Below are 18730 nucleotides of genomic sequence, written 5' to 3'. Positions count from 1 at the left end.
AGGTGATTGAAGCAGCTGACTTTTAGTGTTCCTTCCAGCCTGTTTTAATCCAATGGCTCTATTTTTGATACTTTATGTAGACTCTTCAGCATTATTACCAGTCAGGAAATTTTGCTAACACTGTTAGCAAAAGTAAGTTTGAAAAAAATAAAAAGAATAACATAATGCAATAAGACACGAAAAAAAGAAAATGGCATACTTTTTTGTGGAGAGATTTTGAATTACCTAAATGAATTTTTGTATGTGCTGTTTATAAGCATTCAATTTTATTGTTTTGTCATTTATGTTTACATAACCCTTTTTTCTCCAGTGATTTTGCTCCTGACCCCACTTTACCTATTTCAGATATTCTATGACTTCAAATGTAATAATGCATTTATTTCGTTTTAACTCTTCTGTTTAATTACAAATGTGCTTGCCCTTTGTTAGGGCAATTTATGATATGAACATTTTTATATTAAACAAAATTTGTTCAATGAGAGCTTATTCTATGATATATACCAGAATTGTGGCATTTGTGCTTAAAATTTTAAAATTAATATATAAATATGTATATTTACTAAGTAAGTAATAAGAAAACTCTGTGTTTGACAACAACGATTGCATTATTGTCTCCATGCTAAAGAGTTTTATTTATTATTTTCTAGCTACGGACCTTCTTTTTTCCAAAACAATATTTGGAAATGCAGTTCCATTTGCCACAGCTGGAGATTGCTACAGTGCTTTCAGATGCCCACAGGTATTTCATATTTGTTTGATTAATTTTCTTTCTTTGTGAAAAAAATTATAGCTTCTCTTCATTCATTTTTTTAACCAGAATATTGCAAGAAACATAAGTAAATAGAAATGCAAAACTTCACATATGCGCTTTGTTTCAAAGGTTATAGATAACCTTTGGAGGAAAAGCATCTTTGCCAATTTTGGGTTTGTTTAAAAGGCATAACAATAATTTTAAACAGATTCTATTTCTTCTTCCATAATGTGTTATCAGTTTCTTCATCTTTCCGTTTAGTCCATGGAAATGAATAGATATTTGTCAAAAGGCAAAGGAACGGATCACAAGCATGTGACTTTCATACACTTCTGCTGACATCAGTTCTATTAGCTTCCTGGGTCTGTAACGTCCTCCAAATGACAGTCTGTTATCAATAAAATGTATATTGAATACATTTTCATATTTTTATTCTCGCTTTTATCCTTTATTTCTAGAGTTCTCTTCACATGCTCTTATGTCATTTCCATGATTTCCAATACAGAGCATGTTTTCCTAGAAGAAAATATTCTCTCACATTATTAACTAGAGATTTTACATAGATAATGAAAAGAACATTTTTATGATAGATGAAGAATTGTAAGCTAGATGAATATAGCACTTTTAGGTGACTCATTGCTAATTGAATATATGAATCAAATCTACTACCTAAGACAAGTGGTAATTACTATATTGATATCATTTTGAAGAGAAGTAGTTAATAGTTTGTCATAGTCTCTTCTTAGACTATTCCATTTATAATTTTCATTATATGACATCTAAGTTACGCTTATATTAGGAAGAGAGGACATTTTCTGTTAGAGAACTTAAAGGAGATCAAGAGACACTAGAACTACAGGCTAAAATGAGTAAGAACCTGAATAAATCTATACATCTTAACTTAGGTCCAGAAACTCAAACGGAAAGTGGTGATGTTACATGAAAAAGACATAGGTGTTTCTTCGCCCAGCATGAGTTCAGTATGACTCCTTTAGGTCAGGGAGTGATTTATAAACAACCTAATATAATCGTAAGGTTCCAAAACAAAATAGCAAGACTGAAGGATTTATTTTTATTTGACACTGGAACATTACAGTTATTTTAAAATTTCTGTCTGTAAAACATCATTTTCAATCTATTTAGGAGTAGGAGGAGATCACAGGAAAGAAAGAAGGGTTTGAATCATGTCAACTAAGGAAAATGGAGAAGGTAGCCAGGAAAAGAGTGAGAGACAATGGTAACGATCTTTACATATTTAAAGAACTACCATGAAAGAGGAGTGAGGTTGCTTGTGTTCCTCCAGAGGCATTAATAGGGCAGTAGGTTCCAGCTCAACATTAAGAAGGCTTTGACAGGTAGAGTGGTTGGTAAGGAGAACCCAAATCTGGGGCCCAAATAAATAATCAATTTTTGCCTATATTTGTATGGATTGATCTTGAATTCTGCAACTTTGCTGAACTCATTTATTAGTTGTAACAGTAGATTACTTAGGATTTTCTTTATACACAGTGATGTCATCTGTGAATAAAGATAATTTTACTTCCTCCTCAATCTAGATATCTTTAATTTCTTTATCTTGTTTTATTGTGCGGACTACATCTTCTATTACAATACTGAATAAAAGTGGCAAGAGTGAACATCCTTGTTTTCCAATATTAGGCAAAAGGCATTCAGTCCTTCAGCAGTAAGTATGTTAGTTTCATGTGTATGTTAAGTATGTCAGCTAGGAGTATTTTCTAGATGTCCTTGATCAGGTTGAGGACACAGCCTTTTGTTTCTAGCTTAAGTGTTATTATGAAAGGATGCTGGATTTTCTGTGGAGAAGATCCTGTGGTTTTTGTCCATTACTGGATTGATAGAGTGTTACCACACTGATTTATTTTTATATGTTGAAACACAACCTTGCGTTCCTGTGATAAATCCCACTTAGTCATGGGATGTAATTATTTTCATATATTGCTAAATTTGGTTTGCTACTATTTTTTGAGAATATTTCATTCATATTTGTAGTAGAAATTGTTGTATCATTTTTTTTCTTGTGATATCTGTCTCATTTTGGTATCACAGAAATAGTGGCCTTATAGAATGTAGCGGGACGTGTTTTTTCCTCTTGTACTGTTTGGGAAGAGTTTGCAAAAAAATTATTCTTTATATGTTTGGTAGAATTTACCAGCAAAGCCATCTGAGCCTGGGCTTTTCTTCGTGAAAGTTGTTTTAATTACCAATTTACTCTCTTTATTTATTATAGATGTATTCAAATTTTTGTTGTTCTTGAATTTGTTTTGGTAGTTATGTCTCCCTAGGAATTTGTTTGTTTTATCTAAGTTGACTAATTGGTTGTCACACATTGTTCATAGTATTCCCTTACAATCCTCTGCTCTTCTTTTTCCAGTGTTTTAAGGTAGAAGGGTAGATTATTGATTTGAGATTATTTTTCCTTTTTAATATAGGCATTTGTAGTCATAAATTTTCCTTTAATCGATTCTTTTGTTGCATCCCAAAATATTTGGTATGTTGTGTTTCCTTTCATTTATTTTATTTTCTATTATCTATAGTTAGGTCTTTGGTATATTGGTTATTTAAGAGTGTGGAGTTTAATTTCCGCATATTTGTAAATTTCCCAAATTTTCTTTTTTTGGATTTCAACCTTTATTGTGACTGGAAAACACGCTCTGTGTTATTTTATCCACTAAATTTATTGAGGCTTATTTTATGTCATAACATATAGTTTGTCCTGGAAAACATTCAATACATTCTTGGGAAGAATGTGCATTCTGTTGTTGTTGGGTGAAGTGTTCTATAGACTACAGACCTTATTGGTTTATATTGTTGTTCAACTCTTTCTTTCTTGTTGATCTTCTGCTTAGTTCTATCTGCTGAAACTCTGCAACTATTATTTTTAAATTGTCTGTTTCTCAATTCAATCTTTTATGTATTTTGTTTTGTTTCATTTATTTTGAGATTTTGTTGTACACGAATATATAACTGTCATAACTTCCTAACATATTGACCTTTTTATTATTATAAAATATTCTTCTTTATCTACAGTAATGTTTTTGTTTTAAAGGCTAATTTATCTGATACTAGTGTGGCCACTCCAGCTCTGTTAGAATTGCTATATATATTTTCATCCCTTTACTTTCAACTTATTTATATCTTTGGCTCTTAAGAATGTCTCTTATAGAGTATTTTGTTGGATTACTGCCTTTGATTGGATTTTTTTAACATCACTATCGCTATGTCTGGATTTACATCTGCCATTTTACTTTTTGTTTTCTATATGTTTCATGTTGTCTTTGTTCAACTGTTCCTCCTTACTGCTTTCTTTTTATTCAGTGAATGTTTTCTGGTGTAACATTTTAATTTCCTCAGTTTTTTCATTATTTTTGAATTGCTTTGTTAGTGGTTATTCAAAGGCTTACAATATATATCTTATCAGAATGTACTTTACATTTTACTATTGAACATTCCTCTCTTTCCAGTGAAATATAAAGACAGTACTACTATAAATGACCTATTTCTTCTCTTTTTCTGCTATGTTTGTTATACATATACCATTTATAAAGGCAACAAACTTGCAACATATTGGTATTATATTAACTTAAATAATTTTATGTCTTTTAGATAATATGAGAGAAGATAGAGCAATTGTATATTCATAGAGTTTGTTACGTAAACCTTCTCATTTAGTATTTCTGGTTCTCTTTATTTCTTCCTGTGGATTTGACTTATCGTCTTGTGTCATTTCCTAACTCTAAAACAGCTTTGCTTCCATCTGTCTTATTTGTGCCATTATTGTCAAATATATTACATGTCTATATATTACAGGTCAATAATATACTTATATACACCTTGGTTTATACGATTGCTTTTAAATCAGTTAAAATAAGAAAAGTGAAGAGATATGCAATTATAGCGTATTTTATAATTATCTACATAATTAACTTTATCAGCACTCTTGATTTTTTAAGTTGATTTGTATTAATGTCTGATGTTACTTGATTTCAGCCTGAAGAACTTCCTTTAGTATGTCTTGTAAAGTAGATGTGCTAGCAAGAAGTCCTCTCAGTTTTGTTTATCTAGGAGTGTCTTTATTTTGCCTTCCTTTCTGAATGATAGGTTTGCTTATTAAAAATTATTGATGTACAGTTTTTTATTTTCAGCACTTTGAATATGTCATCACACTGCTGTCTGACTTCTAAGTAGGTAATAGATGTCAGCTGTTTATCTTATTGGGTTCCATGGATGTGGTCCTTTTTCTCTTGGTGTTTTTGGGGATTTTCTCTTTGCATTTGTCTTTCAATGTCTTTACTGTGTCATATTTGATGTGCATCTCTTTGTGTCTACTTGGCTTGGAGTCCACTAAGCTTCTTGGATGGGTAAATTAATAAGTTTCACTGATTTTGGAAAGTTTTCAGTCATTATTTTAATATATACCACTGATTTTGGAAAATTTTCAGTCATTATTTCTTCAAATATATTCTCTGCTCTTTTTAATTCTTCTGTCCTTTTGATGCTTCTTTTATGCATATGTTGGTGCACCTAATGGTGTGCGTTCATTCCTCTGAGGCCCTATTCATTTTTCTTCTTCTTTTTTCCTCTCTGTTCTTCAGATTGCATCATTAACATCCCTTTAAGTTTGCGAATTCTACTAGCTCCAGTAGACAATTTCAGCCCCTTTGTGAATTTTTTAATCTTGATTATTGTACTTTTCATCTTCAGAGTTTTCCTTTGACTCTTTGTAAAATATGATATCTTCATCTTTATTGTTATTCTCTATTTGATGAGACACAGTTATCATACCTCCTTTTACTTTTTTAAACATGGTTTCTTTAGTCCTTTGAACATATTTATATTAGCTGCTTTGAAGTTTTTGTCAGCTTAGTCTGACATCTGATATCTCTCAAAGGAAGTTTTTCTTGACTTTTTTCCTGTGTATGCATCATGCTTTGTATGCCTCATAAATTTTGTTGAAAACTGGACATTTCAGGTACTGTATTTTAGCAACTGTGATTACTGATTTCACCCTCCCTTTTGAGGCTTCTTGTTATGGTTATCGTTTACTTCTTTGTTTGTGTATTTTTTTTAATTACCTGGCTGAACTGTTTCAGTGAATTCTATTTCCCTTGTAGTGTGCAGCCTTTGATGTTACTCCTCAGTGGGCACAGTCTTGGGCATGCACAGTGACCGTGATGCTCCTCTCCTTCAGGGATAACAATAGTCTTAGGTGGGCTTTCTTCAGTTCTCTTTCCCTGAAATTGTGTTGAGTTTATGCGTGGTCTGTCTCTACTGATATCATGCTTAGCTCTTAGTCTCCACTAATTGCTAGATGATTTCCCTATTCTTTCAACAATATTTTGGGGGCATAAATAACTCCATAATCTGATCCAATTAAATAGAGGCCCCATGGCCTCAATTAGTCTTATAGTCTGTTTTTGAGATCAGGAAAGTCCCCAAGAAGAGCCTTTCTTAGCTGCCTCATTCCCTGATTCTCTCTGTTAAACTTCAATCTTATCTACCATTTGCCTTCATTGAGCTACTACCCTCCTCTTAACAACACACCACTAAAATCTTCTTTTCCAGAAAGTACCTAAACTTGAACTTCTCCAGGTTTTATTCCAAATAAGCTAGTCACAATAGGAAAAGCTAGTGAATTTCCTATTTTTACAACTTGATTCTCTCCCTGGGAAGAAGCTCTGCAATACTGTGGATCTGGGGACAGGGACAGTGGCCCATTCCTCAGAGTAACACCCCTGCTCAATAAATAGAGTGCTGAGTCATGGCAGTAATCCCTGGTCTTCTTGGCTTTTGACCTTGTCAGCATGGAGTGTCTGCCTTACCAGTGATTTTTTGTGGGGACATTTCAGGCCTAGTGTGCTTGATCTACCATGCCTGGGATAGATTGACTGCTCTGTGAGTAGGGACTGGGTGGAAGAAGGGAGCTTCAGACTCTCAGCTACTCTTGCCTATAATACAACTTCTGCAGTACAGACTTGGGTGGGATGAGAAATGCTGGTGGCCTGCCTGTCTCAAAGAGAAACCATAGCCTTAACAGGGAGCTAGGGGGAAATGGAGTCCTGTATCCTTAACTGCATTCACCATGATTAGAATGATCATCTTGCTGAGGTGGGAGGAAAAGAGGGCGAGTCATGGGAGGTGGGAGGAAAAGAGGGTGAGTCATGGTTCAGATGCCACAGGTTCTCACTGTTCTTACCTAGATTTAATAGATATTCTTTTTTTTTTCTTGGTAGCACAAATTTATTATTTAACAGTTATGGAAGTCAGAAATCCGAAATGGGTCATACTGGGCTAAAATCAAGCAGTCAGCAGGGCTGCATTCCTTTCTGGAGGCTTTAGGAGATAATCTGTTTTCTTGCCTTTTCCAGCTTCTAGAAGTTGCCTGCATTCCCTGGCTCTTGGCCCCTTTTCACCTTTTTTTTTTTTTTTCTAATTATACTTTAAGCTTTAAGGTACATGTGCACAATGTGCAGGTTTGTTACATATGTATGCATGTGCCATGTTGGTGTGGTGAAATCAAGAAGAAAATCTTCTTGATTTTCTTCTTGAATAAATGTCTTCTTGAAGAAGATTTTCTTGAATAAATGTTTCTCCCTTTTCCGTATAACCATAGAACAAATTTCAGAGACTTTAAGTGGTGGTTATAGTTATCATTTTCACCAGTCATGTTTGTTTCACTGGAGAGAGTGTCCATGGGCTCCTCACATCACCATTCTAGAAGTGTTTCCTCACATGATTGTATTTTTAAAGGCAGGCAACTTTGCAGAGGAATCCTATGTTCTCATTCAATCTTTGAGGCTGGTTAGCCCTATTTATTTCCATTCTTCTTCCCAATTCCCTATTTCACCCATATTGGTGATGAGTACCTACCTCCAACATGGTGACTCTGACCTACTACTTTCCATTCAGTTGCCTTCCCAGGACTGTCCTTTCTCTGCTGAGTCCCTCCTCTCCTGAAGTTCTGCACTGTCTCTTTTTATACGTGTTCTTAAGTCAAGGATGTGTAATCTAAAACTTTTAACATTCTGAACAGTTTTTTCCTTGATATGTGGATGTCTTTTGTTGGTGACACATCCATTTCAACTCTCTTAAATGGAGATTATACATTCTACAATGGTTAACCTATCTCAAGACTGGTCAACTTTGTCCAACAACCCATCCTCCTTTTAAGCTGTGCCTTCTGGTCATATATTTGATGTAATTAGAGATAAGTAAATTGACAATGCAACCTAGTCTGCTAATACAAGGCCTAACAAATGTTGTTACTTTGGAAAGGTCACCCAGTTCTGGAAATCTGGTCCTTGTCATTACATGTTGTATTGGGAAAGGTCTGGTCAATGAGACATCAAGAAAATCACAGGAGACGCATATACAAGTAAATCATATAACTGTCAAATGGAATTAAAATTTTATTTTATTTTATTAATGAATTTTCTTATAGGAAATACCTTAACATAAGTCCAATTATTACAAATAAAATATTTCTTCATGTACATGGAATTTGAATGAGATATTTGCACAATCAGGTTTTTAAATCATAAGATAGCTATTTCCATTTCTTTCTAACTCCCTTTCTCCAATGTCTCTGTAATCCTCTTTTTTCCCTATAAGATCTTGAAAAAGTTATATAGCTATAAACTGCGATTGCCCAGTTTATAGCTGAAGAAACAGACATTCTGTGTTAACAGTCTGTCCAAGATCCTGAAGAAAGTCATAGGCAGAACTGGCAATAAAATGCTCTTCCTGCCCACTGGGGCGAGATGTCTCTCTTGCATGGTTTTCTAGGCATTTCTGAAACGCAAAGCTCCATTTCCAAAATTGGTTGTTATTGGGCATAGACACATGCTGTCAAAAGGAGCTGTGCCCATCTATATTCAGCCTGTATTTGTCTCCTTGAGGCTACTGTTACCAAAAATACAAACTGCCCAATATTTTTGGAGATGTTCTGTAATATATAAACCAGATTCTGTGTTATGTTACACAGCATTTGCATGAATACTCTCCAGATGCTTGACGTCACAGAAAGAACTTATTCTGTTGTTTGGGATTCATCAAACCCAAATCCTCTGTGTTTGCATGTGACAGGATAGTCTGGGATAGGAATGCTAAAAAAGAGTATGGACACATATGGCACTCTTTAGGGAAAATAAACTTCGCCACATTGCAATATGAGATGAAGTTAAGGAGTGTGGTGTGACTTTAGAATGCATATGTCGAAAGTAAAGTAAAGTAAATGTTTTGCACTTTTTGCAAAGCCACAAAAACTTTTAAAAAACAAAAGTAATGTGGATCTATTTAACTGGTTGGTAATTACATAAAAGTAAGAGAAATAATCATATTCGGCTAATGTCAGTGGGTCTTGGCCAGCATCCAGTTTGAATGTTAAGAGTCAGTTGTTAGATATTTGGAATGTGTATTCATTATTATCAGGGTGTAGAGTTTAATATATATCCATAAGATCTACCCTTTCGATTACATTGTTTAGATCATGTCCTTACTTTTGTTCATGTGATCTCTCTTGTTACTGCAAGTGGTATGTTGATTTTTCCTATTATTAGGTTGTGTCTGTGTCTCCATGCATATCTCATAGTTTTTGCTTCATAAAAGTTGTTCTCTATGATTTGATACATAATATTTATTATGTGTTATGTCTTCTTTATGGATTATTACTTTTAGCACTTCCTTGTCATGGTTTAATGATTGGGGACTCAAATTCTCCTTTATCTTTTATCAACATTGCTACCCCTACTCTCTTTTTATGTCCTTTGTCTTTTTATGCTTATTTTAAAATTTATTTTTATTTATTTTTTTGAGACAGAGTCGTGCTCTGTCGCCCAGGCTGGTATGCAGTAGCACAATCTCAGCTCACTGCAACCTCTGCCTCCCAGGTTCAAGAAATTCTCCTGCCTCAGCCTCCTGAGTGGCTAGGATTACAGGCGACTGCCACCACGCCCGGCTAATTTTTGTATTTTTAGTGGAGACAGGGTTTCACCCTGTTGGCCAGGCTGGTCTTGAACTCCTGACCTCAGGTGATACATCCACCTCAGCCTCCCAAAGTGCAGGGATTACAGGCGTGAGCCACCGTGCCCGGCCGGTGATATGTGTTTTCAAGTCTTACTCATTTTAAAAATTGAGTTGTTTGTTTCCTTACGGTTGAGTTTTGAGTTTTTTTATATGTTCTGGTCTTCTGTTGGATACGGCATTTTAGTCCGAACCTTGTCTTTTCTTTCTTTTAAATATCTCTCACAAAGCAGTTTTCAATTTTAATAAAGTCAAATTTTTCTTTTATGGACTGTACATTTAGAGTCATTTCTGAGAAATCATTAAACTCAAATTACTGAGATTTTTCTCCTTTTGGAAATTTTCTTCAAAAACTTTTTATAGTTTTATGCTTTATACCTAGACCTACAATTTATTTTGAATTAAATTTTGTATTAAGTCTGAGGGATTTATAGACTTGATTTTTTGTCTGAGTCAAAAACATATAGACAGACAGCTGTTCTAACACCATGTGTTGAAAAGACAATGTTTTCTCCACTTATTTGCCTTTCTACCTTTGTCAAAAGTATTGGCCATATTTATGTGGGTCTTTTTTTTCCTTTGATCTACATGTCTCTGTCTTCACCAACACCATACGTCTTGATTAGGATAGCTTTACGATAAGTGTTAAAGTAGCATGGGTCCTCCAGCTTCATTCTTCTTTTGTAAGCTTATTACGACTATTTAAATCCATAGCCTTTCTATATAAATTTTAGAATCAACTCTCCGTATGTACAAAGATTCTGGGTGGAAAATTTGTATTGGTATTATATTAGATCTATAGATTACATACATAATAAAATGTGTACAGTACATTTAAAAACTGTAAAACATAATTATTTAATGAGCACACATGAACCAACCAGTCAATCCAAGAAGTGAAACGTTAAAACTTGCATCTATCTATATGCTTCTCCTCTATCTTATACCCATACTTACCTTTTTCTTTGATGCAGCCAGTTACTCAAGAATAAACATTCCAATTTATTGAATTCCTAGGTCTTTTGAATCATTTTACCTTCCATTTGTGATTTGGCTACTGGAATTTTACTTTGTTTAGTGGCTGCTTCTTCAAAATGTCAGGAGAGTAGAAGAAGAGGTAAGTTTCATACTACGTATCTACTCTCCTGACATTTCATACTACATATGCATGTATGGAGAGAGAGACAGTGAGAGAGAGAGAGGACCTCGTATGTTGAACTAATTTTTAAGTTAAAGATTAGGTTTGAGGTTTAAATTTTAATCTTAAATGAAGTATTGGAATTAACACACTTATTCACACTCACTTATTTATTACTTCTAAAATCCTATAGGAATGTATAAGTACCTTTTTATGGCACTTATAGTTCTCTTGTTGAATTACTTTTTTTTTTTTTTTTTTTTTGAGACGGAGTTTCGCTCTGTCGCCCAGGCTGGAGTGCAGTGGCGCGATCTCGACTCACTGCAAGCTCCGCCTCCCGGGTTCACGCCATTCTCCTGCCTCAGCCTCCCGTGTAGCTGGGACTACAGGCGCGCGCCACCATGCCTGGCTAATTTTTGTATTTTTAGTAGAGACGGGGTTTCACCGTGTTAGCCAGGATGGTCTCGATCTCCTGACCTCGTGATCCGCCCGTCTCGGCCTCCCAAAGTGCTGGGATTACAGGCGTGAGCCACCGCGCCCGTCCGAATTACTTTTTTTAGGTACATATGCTATTTCACTTAACAGATTTAGAGTGAGATCTGTCTGAACTTTCATGGTACTTGACACCATGTCTGCCAGTCAGTTAATTTTGAACAAATGAGTGAGATGTATTTTTACCTCCGTCAACATCATACCAAATTTTAGATAATTGTTTTACCATTTTTTTTGAGATCATATTTAGCTTTCTAAGTGAGGACTAAGAACAGAAGTAAAGCTCATGAAAATTAGTACAGAGAAATGGAACAATCGATAGTTCTAGACTCAACTAATTGTGTTAATGACCACCTAAGGCTCTCAGTAGTCAGTCAGATTTATTCCTTTTACTTCCAATGTGTATACATTTGAATATTTTTAAGGCACATTGATCAGGGAGGTAGAGAGCAAATGGAAGAATGGAACAACAGTATTAGGTTGCATGGCCCAATTGAGCACTCAAGGAGCATCTGGTTACAAGAAATTTACATGGTAGAATATATTTTCATTTTTTAATAACTTTATTTGGTGAAAAACCTATCTGAGAAGGAATGTGAGATTGGAGGTATACAGTGCAAAACCTGTATCAGGTTGATTAAGTATCAAATAGAATAATATATCCTAAGAATCAATTCTTTTTATTCAAATATTTGTGAACATAAAATACGACTTTGTCTGGTTTTAGTGTCATTCATTATCAGAGTCTGAAGAGTTTTATATATGTATTTGTGTATTTACTTTTATAATACTACTATTTAATGTTTTTAATGCTGCACTTAATTCATCCATTCAAAAACACTTATTGAGAACTTAGGCCCTGTTCTGGGCTCTGGGAATATAGCAATGAAACTGACATAGAGTTCATATTCTAAATTTCATAACCAAGTGATGTTGTATGTGATACATTTTCTTTGAAATTTATCTAAAACTAATTATTTCTGCAATGGAAAATTCTCCATTTATTGTCATTGTTTTATGCGAATATTTGATCTTCATTTGTTTTTAAATGAGAAATATACAATATAAGATTGCTAAGAAATCCAAGTTAATGACTAAATTGATATCTATTTGTTTTAGCAATATTAATAATTCACATTATATATACAGAGTTTATTTAGCTTTTGCTTTTATGACAAGATAATATTTTCATTCATATAATATAAAATCCAGTGTTTCATCACAATCTTGCTCAAGATTCATGAGTCTTAAGCCATTGAGATATTGTGAGGTAATTAAAGAATGTCGTAATATTGTTCTGAATCTATATGCCTACTGAACATTGTCAGTAGACTGAACTTGTTTGCAGTTCTACTTTTCAATGTTTAAATCTGTACTGTAAAATTATATAAATATGACACAAATGTTACCTATTTTAATAACACATTTTCTCAGTTAATATTTACAATTTAACTGTTAACAAAGATAGTCTGAAGTATTTTGACATAAAAATGGTCCTGCACTTGGAAAGAATTAGATCATGAAGCTCATAGGGGACCCACACACCATAATGTGTGTAAATCATGTGGCATCACACATCTGCACGCTGTTTCTGGTGTTTAAAATGGATGTAATTGCCAGGAAAATAATATTATATTAGATAGTTTTGTGTGGTGAGTTAAGAAGTAATATTCTTACCACAAAAGGAATGGGGCAATAACAGAGATTCTGGAAAATATGTCAAATAGGTGAAACAGCATAGAAGTTAGCAATGAAGGGTCAAAAATGGAACGTGTAGAAATGTTAAAGTGCAGCAAATGTTGGTCCCCGTGAACACTATTTCTGTCAGAACTTGCTAATTTCTACAGGACCATTAGTTCTAATTGTCGAATCATAGAGTCCTAGAGTTGGGCAGAGTTACTTCTCCACAAATAACATTATATAGTATTAATTCAGTTGCCCCTTGCAATTGAGAAGACTTATTTGTAATCAAATATTTTGTAAATTCCATCTATTTTTCTTTGTTTTATTTACAATCCAGGGACAGTTTAGCATTAATTTGTCAGGAACTGGGATGAAGATATCCAGCACAGCAAAGTGGCTCACTCAGGGGAGTTATACCTCTGTCAGCATACGAAGATCAGAGGTAAGTCCTGCGGGACCAAAAAGCCTGTTTGAAATACTTCTGAGCTATGAACTAGCATTAAAGGTTCTCTACCTAAAATGTAAACTTATATGAAATTGATGACTAAAGAGATATTGCATATAATGGGTATATTACATATAATGGAGCACAACATTAATTTATGAAATGAAACAGGATTCATTTGTATTAATGTGCATGTGGAGGTTTTGTATATTTATGAATCCATATATAGGCTATAGATATTTGAACATAAATTGCCAAATGCCAGGACATATAGATTTTGTCTATCTCAAGTTTGGAGCTAATGACTTGAAATACAGATGTTCAAGAAAGGTATGCTTTTTACTATACTTTAATTACTGAAGGTTTACAGGTTTTAATATTTCAAAATGAGGGTTAAATTTTTTGTTTTCTTCCCTCACTGTTTTAGTGATGGGGGTGGTGTTGGAGACACTTGTCATTTAACAAATATTCTTCACAGTTTTTTCAAGAATTAGGATTATGTATTTATGTTGTACTCATGTTTTCCTATCTTTATCTAGATAACATTGTTATTTTATCTATGAAAATGTAGACTGTTATGTAGTATTTATATATATAGTTATAACTATTTTTATAGTTTATTCTTATAATTATTGTAACTATAGCACATGTTGTATTATCCAAAGTAGAATCCACTTAATTTTCTGCAGGTATGGTGTTCTAACATGTACACTTCATGAAATGCTTTCTATTACTTATGGTTATTGTGTCTTAGATAACATAGCCCTGCTCATAGTAAATCTGGATCTAGGTTATAGGTGTTCTCACCTATATCACACATAAATTAGCACCAGCAACAGCCCCGGTATACTCTAATGTTTTATGACTTTTATTTATTATGATAAAAGTAAATTTAGTTATACTCCTATTTATATAAATATTTCTCATAAATGAAATTTAGTATTCTGATAGTCATAGCCTTTAAAACATTCTATTTCTGAAGATGATAAAATTGTGCTTAATGAAGGATTTGTGTTTTTATTAACTTCTCAAGATTAATTCATTATTCATTTCGTTGAGAAGTTCTATCTCAATCAAAAATGTTGCACATAACTAGTTCTTGAAATCTGATGCCTGGTGTGAAACTGACTGGTAAAATCCAGATATACTTACAGAAATGCAAACATATTTTCCTTTGCCAATAAGTTTAATGAAGATAGAGTTTTTACTTCAACAGAGGGAATAGGGAATTATACAACTCTGAGATTTTACTGCCATTCCCTTCTCTGTGTACTCAGATTCTCCAGAGTTAAATTGCTTTAGAAAGAGAAGGTAACTTCAAAAGCTTCCGGTCTCAAAACATTCTTCCATCTCAAAATGTCCCAAGAACCTACAGTTTTCTTCTCTATCTTTACTCCCTTAGATTTAAAAAAATTACCTTTTCCAGATATGATAGGAGTTCAACCTATTTTTGTCTCATGTTCTGGAAATGTCTTCAGTCTTGACTTTTAGACCTAAAGACGTGAGGCGTCTATCACGTCCTGACCAACCCACTTCAGCCTACCTCTGCCACCTGTTCCTCAGTGAACTGCTCTGCTTATGGAACAATCTCCCATTTTAGTTCTTTTCTAATTCTAATGATTGCTTTCAGCCCAGTTTTTATTTATTTATTTTCTCCATTTTACCACCTTCTATACTTTTCTCCAGAGTGTGTTTCTAACGCCTCCACGAGATGCTTGAAATAAATGGGATAGAAAATGAATTATATGCCTTTAAAATCATTTGTACAATATCTTTCTTTTATTTAAAGAGATTATTATATAAAATTATGTAAATACTGGATTGCAAATTGGGAGAGGTTTTAATAAACTCACTGAAGCAAATACATACCTAGATGAAAAATATGTGGATTGAGATTGAAATATGTGGATTGGATTTAAATCTTAATTGAGATTTAAATTGTATATAATATTCAACTAGCTAATATGAATCTCAGGTTATCTAATATCCTTTAACTTTCCCATGTCCACCAATTTGAACTAATATCAAAAGGCATATGATCTTTGACCTCAAATGCAATTGTTATAGGAAACCTCTGCTAATGATTTTAGCCATATGATTCAAAGCATTTGCTTTTTCTGCTATTTGCATACAGATACCAGCTTGTATAAGATTCTTCTGTATTTCTTCTTCCGATTTTCAGGATGGAACTAGATTTTTCGGCAAATGTGGAGGGTACTGTGGAAAGTGTCTTCCTCACATGACTACTGGTCTCCCAATTCAAGTCATATGAACATTTAGAAGGGGGAAGTATGCCCTAAAGAGGGGATATTCTCTGGAATATTCAAATAACTGGTGCTCATTTCTTTATATCTCCCTTCCCGAGATTTCCATGTCCAATATGTCTCTGCCTTTTTTTCAGGGTGCTCATCAGGGATTCAAATCACTGCTTAATAAGGTCTATAAAAGAAATTTAAGAGCTATCTTAATTTATTTTATATCTAATCAGGATATTTTTTAAAGAACATAATAATTTATAATAGAGAATACCAGGATTGAATGAATTATACCAAGACAGTGTTGCTCTTAACATCTTGGCCTGGACCACACTTATTTTATACCTATAAACACACATGTAAATCTCTGCTCAGTTTTGTACTGTACAATGAAATGTTTATTCTACTTGCTAAAATGAAGCAAGTAAATATTAGGATAATAAACATTCAAAATTACTATAAACATTATTGAATCTTTCCGACAAATAGCAAATCAATAGTTACATAAAAAAGCACAGAGCCATTGTACTTTGTACTCATACAGTTTAGATACCTTCTTTTATTTTTTCTTTAATTTTTGCTTGTGGATTATGGGGCTTCAATTAAAAAATAGTCCTCAAAATGAGGTACAAATTGTGTATTAAAAAGGTATGTTTGGGTTAAATAGTAAATAAAAAATTTTGTGGGTATAATAAAGATATGATATAATTTAATTTTTAAAATCTACCTCAAATTTGATTGTACTTATAAGAACAATACATTGTTTTTATAATGTTAATATTCTGTTTTGCCTTTATAATTCTTGTATGTGTATATATATTCTTTAAAAATCTATTTTCTCAAAGTTATGTACTGTATTCTATTAATTAAATATGTGAGAATTCTTTTAATTTTGAAGATCTTATTTTGGTAAACATAAAAATATATTGGCATATGTAAAAGTTTTATTAGAGATGTTTAAGTTATTTTATATCAGAGGTTTCTCAAAGCCAGAACATAAGGGAGTATAAAAATTAACTATTAATTGGCAAATTCTCAGGTATTGAGTTTTTTTCATGCAGATAATTTAACCATGTATTATATAATAATATACTTTTGAAAGACATGTAGACAAATATATTTTTCTATGGAAATCTACTCGGAAAACCAAAAAAAACCAAATGGAATCTACTAATAGATTTTTGCCAGTGAATACTAGTGTACTTTTTTTACCCACAAAGTGTTTTTCTCCCAAACATTTATTACAGATGTATTGTACCATATAAAGCTCTAATACAATTTTGTTTCAATGTGGTTAAACATTTGAAGATGTCTGTATCAAAAGAAATATTTTGTATTATGTGCCTTAAGCCAGTTACAAACATTAAGACAAAATGTGTGACATTTTCCAGGAATCTTTTCATGTATATTTAGAATCTTACAATTGATAAACATTTAAATAAACATATTTTTATGATTCATTAGCACTTTGTTTTTATTGTCTTTACATGTTAAAAAAAGAACTTTCACTGCAAAGAGCTATAACTCTAAAACTTCAGAAATTCTAATTTTTTTTTTTTTTTTTGTGACGGAGTTTCACTCTTGTTGCCTAGGCTGGAATGCAATGGCACGATCTCAGTTCACTGCAACCTCTGCCTCCCGAGTTCAAGCGATTCTCTTGCCTCAGCCTCCTTAGTAGAGGGGATTACAGGGGCCTGCCACCACACCTAGCTAATTTTTTGTATTTTTAGTAGAGACGTGGTTTCACTGTGTTGGCCAGGCTGATCTTGAACTCCTGATCTCAGGCAGTCCACCCACCTCGGCCTCCCAAAGTGCTGGGATTACAGGCGTAAGCCACCGTGCCTGGACAATTCTAAGAAATTTTTAATCAAATTTGTGCAGTTAGGATGAAGCACAGCTCCTATCTATGCCCTTCTCATGGCAGAGGAAACCTGGCAGGAAACCTGGCAACAGCTTGCAATGCCTCTGAAAGCTTGTATATACAAGGACTACTGGTGTCTACTCAGATTCAAGTGACCAAACCAGATCACATGACCAAGTCCTACGCAGTGGGGCAGGGAAATGTACTGCAGGGCAGGATGGCCAGATCTATGGAAATGGGTGGGGACTTAACAATCTCTCCCAAGGCAAGAAGCAGGTCCTTGTGATATATCATCTTCAACTCCCTAGAATTTGCCCAAGTACCTCCAAAGTGGTTAAATAAATTAAATTACCACTGGAAGAGAATAAAAATTTTAGTTGATCCACATTCTCAATGACACCTGAATTTCTGTTTTGTTTTGTTTTCTAATCTGGTGGGACATAGCATGGTATTTCATTGTCTGAATTTATATTTATCTGAATACCAGAGTAGATGGGGATCTCTCATACTTTTTTACATTTGGCTTCTTTTTCTGAGAATAACTTTTTTATTATCTTTGTCAGTTTTGGTTTAGGATTTTTTTTAAGTTAAAGGGCTTTTTAACAGTTACCATCAGAGTGGGAACAAAAAAATATAAGTTTACAGTTTGGGGCTGTTATTTTAAATTCACTTTCTTTGTCACTTTTCTGTGTCTATGTCAAAGTGTTGCTGTTTTGCTCAAATATTTTGTCTCCTTTCTAACCCCAAATTCTCAGTACATAGCATTACTTTCTATTTCACAAGAAAGAAAACCATTGAAAATAAATTCTTTCAACTTCCTGCCACTTATACGTCTCCTCTCCATGTCCCTTGCCCCAAAAAAGAGAAAGAAAAAAAAAGTCATATTTCTGAATAAAAGCCAAGCAGCTTTATGTGGATGCAATTTAAAACATTTGAGAATCTCTTGCCAAAAAGCATGCTTTTGTATTGTACCTTAAATTAGTTGCAAATATTAATACACAACTTACAACGATTTACTTGTTTAACATTTAAGATGACATGCTCCCTGCATCTATTTTATCTTTTT

The 18730-nt window shown here is 33.6% G+C and overlaps 1 protein-coding gene across 3 annotated transcripts in view; it reads left to right on the top strand.

Moving 5' to 3' along the window:
• Positions 1 to 17266, top strand: part of ADAMTS20 (ADAM metallopeptidase with thrombospondin type 1 motif 20) — a 199441-nt gene extending 182175 nt beyond the window's left edge. For 2 of the 3 annotated variants that reach the window (XM_011538754.3, XM_017019979.2), the window contains 3 exons: positions 648 to 739; positions 13441 to 13545; positions 15731 to 17266. In XM_011538754.3, coding sequence (XP_011537056.1) covers positions 648 to 739; positions 13441 to 13545; positions 15731 to 15820 — 287 coding nt within the window. In that variant the 3' untranslated portion in view covers positions 15821 to 17266. The remainder of the gene's footprint in view (positions 1 to 647; positions 740 to 13440; positions 13546 to 15730) is intronic. The other variant, NM_025003.5, reaches the window with a different exon arrangement.

This window comes from Homo sapiens, chromosome 12, assembly GCF_000001405.40.
Source record: "Homo sapiens chromosome 12, GRCh38.p14 Primary Assembly".
NCBI classification, from domain to species: Eukaryota; Metazoa; Chordata; class Mammalia; order Primates; family Hominidae; genus Homo; species Homo sapiens.
Note: the sequence above shows the minus strand (reverse complement) of the source record. Positions and strands in the feature narration are given on the sequence as shown.